Source organism: Homo sapiens, chromosome 2, assembly GCF_000001405.40.
Source record: "Homo sapiens chromosome 2, GRCh38.p14 Primary Assembly".
NCBI lineage: Eukaryota > Metazoa > Chordata > Mammalia > Primates > Hominidae > Homo > Homo sapiens.
In genome coordinates, this window is record NC_000002.12 from 172609148 (window position 1) to 172622503 (window position 13356).

Consider the following 13356-nt stretch of genomic DNA (forward strand, 5'->3'; position numbering starts at 1 on the left):
TCCAATTCAAAGAGAAAGTTAGGATGGTGTTCTGTGTGAATGCTATCTACGACAAGGACACTCAACTTCCAGAAAATGATTGTTAAGTGGAAATTGGGCACATTCTAATTGGAGATTGTCTGGTTTGTCTTAGAAAGGGGAGCGCTGCTGTACATTGGTCAGGTACATTTAATTAAGGTAAAAAGACAGCTTTTCCTCCTCATCAGTGTAAACAACTGGACTTCTTCCTGTTAAGTATCATATTAAACACAATCTGAAATTTTACTTACTATAAAGAAAATAAGATTTTATGCTTTTTTGATTAACTTTTCTCAGGTGCATTCTAAGTGAAGTGAATTTGATTTATTGCAATCGGAGTATTACTGCTGCAGGCACAAAGCTATCCACTGCACTCAATAAAATAAAGATCACATAGAAGAATTTATTAGAGTCCAAACAACCCAAAGAAGTGGAAGGAAATGCTCTGAGGAAGGAAATGCGGACACTAGTTTCTAAAACGGACATGCGTGTTTCCTTAAGTGTACATCATCATTAGAACGCATGATTATCCTGCTGTTTGTACTTGCAGTATTGTCCCAAAAGTAAACTCAATTATCCATCTGGCAAATGCAGTAGATGGGCCCTATGCTAAACCTGTAATTGTTGACAACTACAGAAAAAGCACTCACTACTTTTTTTGTTTTGTTTTGTTTTTTTTGAGATGGAGTCTCTGTTACCAGGCTGGAGTGCAGTGGTGTGATCTCAGCTCACTGCAACCTCCGCCTCCTAGGTTCAAATGATTCTCGTGCCTCAGCCTCCCGAGTAGCTGGGACTACAAGTGCCTGCCACCACACCTGGCTAATTTTTGTATTTTTAGTAGAGACAGGGTTTCACCATGTTGGTCTGGCTGGTCTCAAACTCGTGACCTCAAGTGATCTGCCTGCCTCAGCCTCCCAAGGTGCTGGGATTACAGGCGTGAGCCTCTGCACCAAGCCAGCATTCACTTTTAATCTGTAATATTCTAGCTGAATTATGTCTTGTCATCTAGTATATCCTTTGCTGTGAATTCTATAATATAGGATTTCAGGTTTATGTCCACTCAACAGTGGCTTTTCTTGGTTTATCTTCTCCAAAATGTATCTACTGCATGAATCATCCCTCTTGTTCTACAGTCACTATTTGAAAAATAGGTATCCAGTATGTTTAGGCACTGCCTGCCCCTACGATGCCTCTCAGAGCTCTGAGCATGGGCACACCGGATCTCTTTGCAGGGCCAGCACCAGCCACCATGGTGGGGGGGCTCCTCCCTGTGCCTAGGTTTTTGAAACACCGCATCTTTTCTTTTGTTCTCCAGTCCTGGGTGGGACTGAAAAATTATTTTCCTGTAGTTATTAATCTTTGGGTTACCTCACAATTACCTTTTGGTTTTTCAGTTTTGTATTATCAGTGTAATCAATTTCCTACATCAAATTATCTCTATTTAATTTTTTTCTTTTTTCTTTAAGATGGAATCTCACTCTCTTGCACAGGCTGGAGTGCAGTGGTGCAGTCTCAGCTCACTGCAACCTCTGCCTCCCAGGTTCAAGCGATTCTCCTGCCTCAGCCTCCCAAGTAGCTGAGATTACAGGCGCCTGTCATCATGCCCGGCTAATTTTTGTATTTTCAGTACAGATGGGGTTTCACCATGTTGGCCAGGCTGGTCTCAAACTCCTGACCTCAGGTGATCCACCCTCCTCGGCCTCCCATAGTGGCTGGGATTACAGGCGTGAGCCACTGCACCCAGCCTCTATTTAAAATTCTTTATTTCTGTTTTCCTAATTTGATTAATACAGCTGTAAAAATAGCAAACGTGTATCTAAAGTGTTATTTCAGTGGCAAAGGAATGTTTTTATTTTGTCGAATTTATATGTGATTTTTAAGTGAAATATTTGTGTGGATCTTGGGGTTTTGGTAGCGTATAAAGCCAATAAAATCAGAGACTTAGGGCTTCAGAAGGGAAAAAATCCTCAACATCACATTCAGCAATGGTTTAGATTCATGAACAAGTTGATAGTCAAATCCTGAGTATAAAATACTTTGCATTCTATCAACTTCTCAAATTACTAGTAAGAACTTCATATTTTGTGTGATTCTCTCATTGACTGTTTTCATCTTTTCCTTAAATAAAACCAGGAGCAAAAACCTCAAAAGTACCAGAAATCAACCAGGATGAAATAATGTGCATAGTCCTTTAACCACTAAATAAATTGAATTTGTAATTTTAAAACTTCAAAAAAGGAATCTCCAGACCCACTAGGTGTCACTGAAGAATTCTATCAAACATTTAAAAAAAATTACCAGTTTCATACATTAAGTATGTAAAAAAAAATTAATGTTGGTTTTACACAGTCTTTTCCGGAAAATAGAACAGGAGGGAAACACTTCCCAACTCATAAGACTAGTTTTACCGTGATGCCAAAACCAAACACAATACAAAAAAGAAAACTACAGATTAATCTTTCTCATGAACTTAGAGGCAAAACTCCCGCCAAAATGTTAAATCCAATAATGTATAACAAGAAGTACGTGTCATGACCAAATGTGATTTATCCCATCTAAGTAAGGATGGTTCAAGATTCAAAAATCAATTAGTGTAATCATAGAAACAGGCTGAAGAAGAGAAATCATATGATAATATCAATTGACATAGAAGAAGCATTTGACAAAATTCACATCTATTCAAAATAGCTAGTGGTCCCCACGTTGGGATCTGATAGTGCTGACTGCCCTCAGGCACCTTTTCCCATCTTTGATACTCCCTGATGTAAGAATAATACTTTTTCATATCTCACCTTGTAAATCAGTGAGTCAGAATTCAAAAGAAATACATGGCTAGAAATGGAATAAATCAAACACATATTTGCCATATCATAATTATCAAAGCCACAATTTTAAAAGTTGTTTTCTCACAGAGAAGAGTATTTCTCTAAATGTATAATGCAGTTGGAAAATTCATAATTACTCCTATGGTACGCACTTTATTGGCCTAAGCTAGTAAAGACCATTTCTCTTCCGAAGATCCACCGTTATACATTAACATTTGAATGAATATTTTCATTATACAGCCAAGATAGCAATTCCCAGATCCAACGCTAATGCACTTCCTGGCTAAAGCTGAAACTCTTAAGAGCAATTAACTAATTCCTGAGTTAATATTGTTTAGACATAAGCCTCTAGAACTAAGTGAGCTAATGTATGTACAATGCTTAGCACATTTCCTGCATATAATACTGAATATATGTTAGTAATTAGTATCACTGTCATAAACTAACAATGTCAAGAGGTTTTTTACATTGATTAGAAGGTTTGTTTTTTTTTTAAACATTTTCAAGCTAAGCATAAATTTCTCAAACACATGGTCGAAGGTGATAGGAACACTGTGTTCTCTTAAGTCCAGTCACCACTCTATCCAAAATTCAATTTTAAAATGTACTAATAGTTTTTCTGTGTATTTAGCCAAATACATGCTGTACATGCATGTCAGTGAAAGAAAATGCTACCAGTAGTGTTTTTTTTTTGAGACGGAGTTTCACTGTTAATTGTCCAGGCTGGAGTGCAATGGCGTGATCTCAGCCCACTGCAACCTCTGCCTCCTGGGTTCAAGCATTTCTCCTTCCTCTAGTAGCTGGGATTACAGAGGCATGCCACCACACCTGGCTAATTTTTGTATTTTTAGTGGAGACGGGGTTTCACCATGTTGGCCAGGCTGGTCTTGAACTCATGACCTCAGGTGATCCGCCCACCTCGGCCTCCCAAAGTGCTGGGATTACGGGCATGAGCCACCGCACCCGGCCCAGCTAGTGTTTTAATTAAAGCCTTTGCTACAGAAAAGTTGTGTCATTTGGGTACTCTGGGAAGCAGATGCTGAGACAGGAATGTAAAAGGTTTATTGGAGGGTAACGAAACAATTTAGAAATGAATTGTGGAGGAAGCAGTACTGGGCATAGAGAACCTCAGACCATGATGCAGAACTGAGTCTTGACTAACAGGAGGAGCTCAGGAGCGAAGACTGCCCATGAGGACACCCACTCAGGGCAGAAATGGCTGGTACCCTGGCCCTGCTCAGTCATTGGCAGGGACTTCCCTAGGGGTGTGGCCTTGCGTTGAAAGCTGAAGCACACAGCCTGAAGGAACTGACAGATGGAGCTTATCAGCTAATTTGCATTCTTTACAGCTAAACTGTACATTCTTTCTTGAGGGGAAATTGAGCAGTACGCTCCATGACTTTAGAAGAAATGCTGGAGAAGACAAATAGTAAAATCCTTATCCTTATTTGACCTTTTTTGCTGCTAATTCCTTTTTTTTTTAAGAGATGGAGTCTCACTGTCACCCAGGCTGGAGTGCAGTGGCACAGTGATGGCTCACTGCAGCGTCAAACACCAGAGCTCAAATAATCCTCCCACCTCAGCCTCCTGAGTATCTGAGATTACAGGTGTACCACCATGCCCACCTTTGACTTTTTAACTTATTCCCTATCAGATAGTCTCCTATCTGGACTATCTGAAGGGTGGTTTTAAAAACATATTTCTGTGGAATACCTACCCACTTAAAAATGTGTAATAATGATGCCAGCAGGGAAGTGTGGCTGGGGCTGCATATTCCATGGAGCCAGGGGGAGCCCTTCTCCTTCTGAGTTGGGACAGGAACTCCCAGTGCTGCTGCAGCCACCCAAACCGCAGCTGTAGACCCTCCTGCTCTACGGAGCAGGCAGGAGCCCCGCCCTCCTGGGCTCCTCAAACTGCAGCTGTGGATCCAAGCTTCCCTGTGTTTTTGAGGGAGCCAGGAACAGGCAGGATCTGCCCTCCTGGGTGCAGCTGCAGCTGCCGCACCCACAGCCGCAGATCTGGGTCTCCTGCTCCAGGAAGCAGGCAGGAGCTGTGGACAAGCAGGAGCCCTGCCCCTTCCAAGTTGATGGGGTGGGAGCTCGCGGGTGCAGCCGTGACCGCCCTCCCAGGTGTAGAACCCGGGAATCTCTGCAGCCTGTGCCCTCAGGGGTCCCAGGAAGGACCCCCCCCCCCAACCCCCATCCCTGCAGGTTCAGGGGTACCTGTTCAGACAGAGTCCTGAATGGAAGGGGCGAGTCCCCAGTAAGTCCCCACCTTCCAGCCAGGGAGGTCCTGAAGACTGGGGACCAGGCTGCCAGTGGCTGCCAGTCCCTCCAACAGGAGTGGGGACTCATGCTCTTCCGTGCTGCTCATGGCTGCCTATGGACCAATCAGCATGTACTTCCTCCTCTCTGAGGTCCGTAAAAGCCCTGGGCTCAGCCAGAGCAGGGCAGAGGATGACGGGATGACCAGCTGCAGAGAGGAGTACTCTACTGATAACTGGAGATGATGGGCGACCACCTTCAGAGAGAAACTGTTAGCAGAGAGGAGCTGCCGTCTGCTGAGAGCTTCAGAGACCTGCAGACATCTGAATGACTTGCCTGCAGAGAGGAGCCACTCTTTTCAGGGCCTTCTCTCAGCTGAGAGCTGAACACCCAATGGGATAATTGCCTACAGAGAGGAGCCACCCACTCCTCTGAGCTGTTCCAACACAATAAAACTCTTTTTCACCCTTCACTTGTCTGCATACCTCATTCTTCCCTGGATGGAGGACAAGAATTCAGGCACCATGGCCATAGAGGTTTCTGGCCAGAAAAATTGACACCCCAGAGATCCTGTAACAATAATCTATTTCTAATTCAGAAACACAAAAAGATTTCATAAAAATTAAGTTAACAGATAACATTTTTCTGAATTTTAAGTTGTATTAATTCTTCATAAATTTGATGCCTCATGACATATCTGTTAAGTATTAGTACACAACAGTGTACTATTGTGTACTAATACTGTTTACACTTTTTCTTGGACATAACTTTGCCTGGTCTGGCTGCAGACCCTGCACGGAGTTTGCTCCTGTGTGGGTGGAGTGGCCGCCTGGATCCCACACTTGTTTACTGACGTGCTCCCTGCCGCAAGGGGTTGAGCACAGCAGGCCGAGTAGACAGGGTGCCCCTGCTGGGAGTCTGGCAAAGGGTCTGAGAGAAATCTTGCATCACTGCCAACGTTGGATTCAATATTTCATGTTTTTCTGAAAAAAATGCTCTACTCTGAAAACAGCAGCACTGTTTGAGTTGTTCAGTCACTAGAACAAAATTTAGAACTTCTCTACTGCCATTAAAATTAAATGATAGAGGCCAGGCATAGTGGTTTATGCCTGTAATCCCAGCACTTTGGGAGGCCGAGGCGGATGGATCACCTGAGGTCAGGAGTTCAAGACCAGCCTGACCAACCTGGAGAAACCCCTTCTCTACTAAAAATACAAAATTAGCCAGGTGTGGTGGTGCGTGCCTGTAATTCCAGCCACTCGGGAGGCTGAGGCAGGAGAATCGCTTGAACCTGGGAGGCAGAGGTTGCAGTGAGCCGAGATTGCACCATTGCACTCCAGCCTGGGCAATAAGAGCGAAACTCTGTCTCAAAAAAAAAAACATTAATTAATAGAAGCAAAATACTGCTTCACCAAGGGTAAGTAATATCTTATGCAAAATCATCTTTACAATAATTCCGTGAACACTTTTTGAAACAAATCAATTATGCAAAAGAATCAGTTATTGGTCAGTTAACTAAATTGGCTATATAATGAGACTTATTAAATTACAAGGTTAGGGAAGTAGAGCTTGTGGTGCCCGGTAAAAAAGAACGTCTTTCTTAAATTAGCAAGTCCATATCCTAAGTCTTACTTTGCTACATGCTACATTTATTCAACAAACATTTAGGGAGTGCCTACAACGGAAGAGGCACTATGGGGACACAGCTACGAACAGGCACTTTATAGAAGAAAGCCAGCCAGCCAAATCTCATGTAAGTAGGTGCTGAACCTGCTTAGTAATCAAGGAAGTACAAATTAAGACCACATTGAGGTTCTATTTTATATCCCTTAGACTAAAGGTCTAACAAAGCCAAATGTGAGAATATGAATCATTGTGAACTCTCATACATTATAATGCATGTGTAAATTTGTAAAATCACTTTCAAAACCAATTTAGCAGTTTTTTTGTAAAGTTATACATTGAAATAACTTGTGACCTAAAACTCTACCCCTAGACGTACATTCTAGGAAAATTTGCACATATTTGGAATGCTAAAAACAACTGGAAATACTCTCAAAACCCAATGATGTGAAATAAGTAAGTTTTGATATATTTATCCAGCGAAATACAGCAGTTAATGAACTATAGCTACACACATGGATGAATCTTAGGAACACAATTTTGAGTGGAAAAGAACTCCCAAGAGACTGATACTGTATGATATTGCCATAAACTAAAAAAACCAACACGAACAAAACAATGCTCAGGCATATGAAAACCTACGTTTTTTGAAAGGTGAGGGGATGATAAGTGCAAAATTCAGGCTAATGGTTGCATGGATGGAATAGGGAAAAGCACATAGGTGAATGAATGGTATTCATTCAAATTGAAGGTTTTGTGAGAAATAGGTTCATAGAGGTTCATATTATGCTACATAATTTACTTATATGTGATGGGTTATTTTTTAATTTAGAAATATTTTTAAATTATTAGGTTAATTTTAAAAGCAATAAAATAATGCTCCCTCTTGAATAGCCTACTTCTGCATCTAAATTGGCTAGTAGTAGGACTGACAGTAGAATGCATATTTTCTTTCAGGGTAGTGTCTTGGAAAGTCAACTTGAAAACAAAAGCAGAACATGGTATACAGTGTACTTTCCCAATAAGATGTTCTTTTTCTGTCTTTGTAATTTATAAAAATAATGATTGGTTATTTTATTTTATTTATTTTTGGACAGAGTCTCACTCTGTCACCCAGGCTGGAGTGCAGTGGCGTGATCTCGGCTCACTGCAACCTCCACCTCCTGGGTTCAAGCGATTCTCCTGCTTCAGCATCCTGGGTGGCTAGGATTACAGGCATCTGCCACCACACATGGCTAATTTTTTTTGTATTTTCAGTAGGGATGGATTTTCACCATGTTGGCCAGGCTGGTTTCAAACTCCTGACCTCAAGTCATCTGCCCACCTTGGCCTCCCAAAGTGCTAAGATTACAGGCATGAGCCACCACGCCTGGCCAGTTATTTTAAAATTCAAATAATACTTAAGAAAATTAAATCGATAAAATTATTAAATAATGTTTTATTAAAGAGATAATTCTTATTAAATGAAATAATTTATATTAAATAAAAAATATTCCCCTCTAGTCTATTTTGTGCTGCTATAACAGAAGATTCAGACTGAGTAATCTATAGAGAATGAAAATTTATTCTCTCTCAGTTCTGGAGGATGAAAGTCCAAGAGCAAGCCACTGGCAGGTTAGGGCCTGGTCTCTCTGCTTCCAAGATGGCACCTAGAACACTGTGTCATCTGAGGGGAGGACCATCATATCCTCATATGGCAGAAGACCGAGACAGCAAACCAACTCCTGCAGGCCATTTTTCTAATGGCATTAACCTATCCATGAGGGCGATCCCTCATGACCTAAACACCTCCCATTAAGCCCCATCTCCCAGTGCTGTTGCATTGGGGATTAAGCTTCCAACACATGAGTTAAGAGGGGAACAAACATTCAAACCATAGCATCCTCTGAACCTCTGAACTTTTTTAATTCCATGCCCCAGATATAATGACTGTGAATATTTTTGTGCATTATTCCTAACATTTTCTATGTATATGCAAACATACATATATTTATACACATTAAACACATAACTTTATTTAAAAAAAACCTGTTTGCTGAAAACTATTCGGCAATAACCTATTCCTTTACTTACAAAACATATTTCATGTTAGAACCCATAAATCACCCTCAACACTTTTAGGGGTTATATAGTTTTCCATTGTAATAGATATGATTTAAACACTCATTTGATCACAGTTATTTAGGTTATTGCAATGTAACAGGACAGTAAATGAGACTCTGTCAGTTTTAGTGGAAGCTTCCAAGTCTGCATATAAAATAAAAGGATCCAACTACCCCTACATTCTATAGTGAGATGGTAGACTATGTAGGTAGGACTTATTATACAAAGGAGGCTTTTGTAAACTGGCTTAGGACCCTGAAGTCATCATTCATCTTAAGATATAAAACATTCAAGTGTATAAGATTGAAAAAGAAAAGTTAAAATTTTAGAATGAGATATTTTGAAAAATGCTAAAGACAAAAACAAGAGATCTTTTTTAGTTTACCCAAAAGTAGATGGCAAGGATACATTGGTCCAATGTTTGGACAATGATGGCAACAAGCAATAAAGATTAAAACATTCCATTCCTACTTTGCTTCACTTTAATAATCATCATCTGGTAGGAAAGAGTAGAAGTAAAATTGCTGTGTGAGAACTGAAGCCAAAGATGAATAAAGAAGAAAAGAATAATAGTGCAAACCATGATTCTCTAAAATAATTTATCTCTGCACCTGGAAAAGTTATGTTTGGAGCAGAATTATGAAATCGTCAAGCTATTGTCTCAGGTGAGCAGATATCTTTGATGAATTCCCTGGCAACAAAATTAAGGAGAGCTGAGAAAATTTGTTTGGGAGAGTTCTTAGAAAATACAGCTGGAAGGAGTTGGGGCAGGTAGGACTGACCAAAGTAAGAAGCTTTCCTACAGTGTGGCTGCAGCTGAGGTCCCAGCTGATCCTTCTGGGAGTTCCAGAGTTGGGGATGGCTCTTCAGAGTTGTCCCACATTGAGGCTAGAGAAGTGGGCCATTTTATTCCTGCATCAGTGAGTACTGGGAAGGGTGTGACTTTGGGTAAAGAAATTATGGTCTGCAGCTAATATCCCCAGCAGCTTGGAGTTAGATGCATCGACCCTATAGAGCAACTCTGGATGAAGTGCTGCAGTATCCGCTGTAAGAAGTAATGCAGGTTTTTCTTCCTAGTACTCATACATTTCTGTTTTAAGTCCTCATCTTTGCATGACTTTCACCACTTGTATGCTACCCTCAGGCTTACAGGAAATCATTCTGCCACCCCCTGCCCTCCACTGCACTGGGGAGAGCAGGGCCTTGTGAGGTTGTCTTGGGCTGCTGGGATACATCATGTGGACATTTGCACTCATTCTGCTCCTGGGCAGGAGAAAACCCTCAAGCCTTGCCTTATTCACCAGGGATGCCCACATTCTCTCCTGTTCTTGGATTTCCAACTGTCTTGAGGATTTCTCCTCTGTCTTCCCATAGTCTGAACAAATTTCCATAGCTCAGTGGACCAGGGGTGGAGCTGAAGGGAAGCAGAGGACCAGGAAAAGCAGACACTGCCCGTAACTCATTTTCCCCCATTAAATTTTTGTGCTTACATTATCTCTAGGCCTAGCTTTTTTTTTTTTAATCTAAAAGCATAAGCTTCAGAAATTTTAGAAGCTCTTTCTTTGGTTTTCTGCGGTAACAGTCTTTCCCTGAGGCAATGAATGCATTGACTAAATGAATAAAAGGCAAAGAGTAAAAAATTCAGAGAAGGATTTCTCAGGTAATATCTCAAAATATTATCTCGCCACAATTACACCCAAGGATATTGACAGGATCTGTGATGAGATCCATGAAAGCTTATAATAGCCTTTGATGGCTCATGAAAAAGGGAAAAGGATCAGATGATCAAAGTCAGGGAAGAGTCTCAGTTTCATTTAAAGAAGGAAGAAAGAGGATGCTGCAAATTACAGATTGGCAATCTTAATGTTTTACATGAAGAACATTCCAGACAAAACTGATCTCAGGCTGGGCAGGTGGCTCACACCTGTAATCCCAGCACTTTGGGAGGCCCAGGTGGGTGGATCATTTGAGGTCAGGAGTTCGAGACCAGCCTGGCCAACATGGCAAAACCCCATCTCTACTAAAAATACAAAAATTAGCCAGGCGGTAGTGGCGTTCACCTGTAATCCTAGCTACTCAGGAGGCTGAGGCAGGAGAATTGCTTGAGCCTGGTAGGCGGAGGTTGTGGTGAGCCAAGATCACATCACTGTACTCCAGTCTGGATGACAGAGTGAGGCCCTGTCTCAAACAAGCAAAGCAAAACTCATTTATTTTTTTGATAGTTTGTCTTGGTCAGACAAAGGCTGTTGAAATAGGTATCTGGACTTCAGCAAATAACTGGACAGTCTCCTAAAATATCATGAATAAGATTTAAGAATGGGAACCAGAAGACAGAAGCACAGGTAGATTTATAATACAGTGAACAACCTTGCCCAAAGAGGACTGAAACATGGCCACAGTAAAGTGATCAAGATAGAGGGGACGGTGGAAACGATGGCATGTGAGGGAAGTTGGACAGAACTGAGGATATGAAGCCTGGAGAAGAAAAGCCTCAGGGAACCTAGGGTAATCTGAAAATGAGACCCGTCATCCTATGCAGGCTCATTCTGTGGGGCTCTGATACGGTTTAGCTCTGTCTCCCCCACTCAAATCTCATGTTGAATTATAATCCGCAGTATTGGAAGTGGGACTTAGTGGGAGGTGACTGGATCATGGGCTGGATTTCTTATGAATAGTGTAACACCATCCCCTTGGTGCTGTCTTCATGATAGTGAGTTCTCGCAAGATCTCGTCATTTAAAAGTGTGTGGCACTCCCCACCTCACACTCTTGTTCTTGCTTTCACCATGTGAAGTGCCTGCTCTCCCTTTGCCTTCCACCATAAGTAAAAGTTTTCTGAGGCCTCCCCAGAAGCAGATGCCACAGTGCTTCCTGTACAGCCTGCAGAACCGTGAGCCAATTACATCTCTTTTATTTAGAAACTACCGAGTCTAGTTACTTCTTTATGGTAATGCAAGAATGGCCTAATACAGGCTCAAAGGAGAAAAAAGAACAAATTTCTGATGATTAGAACATGTCGGCTGGGCACGGTGGCTCACTCCTGTTATCCCAGCACTTTGGGAAGCCAAGGCAGACGGATCACTTGAAGCCAGGGGTTCAAGACCAGCCTGGCCAACATGGCAAAACCCCATCTCTACTAAAAATATAGAAATTCACTGGGCATGCGTGGTGGTTAATACTGACTGTCGATTGGATTGAAGGATGCAAGTATTGATCCTGGGTGTGTCTGTGAGAGGGTGTTGCCAAAGGAGATTAACATTTGAGTCAGTGGGCTGGGAAAGGCAGACCCACACTTAATCTGGGTGAGCACCATCTAATCAGCTGTCAGTGTGGCTAGAATATAAAGCAGGCAGAAAAACGTGAAAAGACTAGATTGGCTTAGCCTCTCAGCCTACATCTTTCTCCTATGCTGGATGCTTCCTGCCCTTGAACATCGGACACCAGATTCTTCAGTTTTGGGACTTGGACTGGCTTTCCTTGCCCCTCAGCTTGCAGATGGCCTGTTGTGGGACCTTGTGATCATGTGAGTTAATACTTAATAAACTCTTCTTTTTTATATATATATTATATATATATGTTTATATATTTATATTATATATGATATATGTTTATATATGATATATGTTTATATATCATATATGTTTATATATCATATGTTTATATATCATATATGTTTATCATATATATGATATATGTTTATGTTTATATATCATATATATGTTTATATATCAAACATGTTATATGTTTATATCTCATATATGTCATATATGTTTATATCTCATATATGTCATATATGTTTATATCTCATATGTATGATATATGTTTATATCTCATATGTATGATATATGTTTATATCTCATATGTATGATACATGTTTATATCTCATATGTATGATATATGTTTATATCTCATATGTATGATATATGTTTATATCTCCTATATGATATATGTTTATATCTCATATATGTGGTATATTTTATATCTCATATGATGTATGTTTATATCTCATGATGCATGTTTATAGCTCATGATGCATGTTCATATCTCGTATATACGTTTATATCTCATATATGTGAGATATGTTTATATCTCATATATTATGTGAGATATGTTTATATCTCATATATTATGTGAGATATGTTTATATCTCATATTATGTGAGATATGTTTATATCATATATTATGTGAGATATGTTTATATCATATATTATGTGAGATGTTTATATCATGAGAGATATGTTTATATCTCATATATTATGTGAGATGTTTATATCTCATATTATGTGAGATATGTTTATATCTCATATATTATGTGAGATATGTTTATATCTCATATATTATGTGAGATATGTTTATATCTCATATATTGTGTGAGATATGTTTATATCATATATTATGTGAGATATGTTTATATCATATATTATGTGAGATATGTTTATATCATGTGAGATATGTTTATATCTCATATATTATGTGAGATGTTTATATCTCATATTATGTGAGATATGTTTATATCTCATATAT

At 40.2% G+C, this 13356-nt stretch overlaps 1 protein-coding gene across 22 annotated transcripts in view; it reads left to right on the forward strand.

Annotated features, from left to right (window-relative positions):
* Positions 1-13356, forward strand: part of PDK1 (pyruvate dehydrogenase kinase 1) — a 168940-nt gene that overhangs the window by 53775 nt on the left and 101809 nt on the right. For 7 of the 22 annotated variants that reach the window (NR_103731.1, XR_001738771.2, XR_007076391.1 and 4 more), the window contains one exon: positions 12277-12355. The exons of 13 other annotated variants lie outside the window; for them this stretch is intronic. The gene's annotated coding sequence lies outside the window, so the exon portion shown is untranslated. Of the gene's footprint in view, positions 1-5259; positions 5580-12276; positions 12356-13356 lie in introns of those variants that run through there. 2 more of the 22 variants (XR_922945.1, XR_001738775.3) reach the window with 1 other exon arrangement.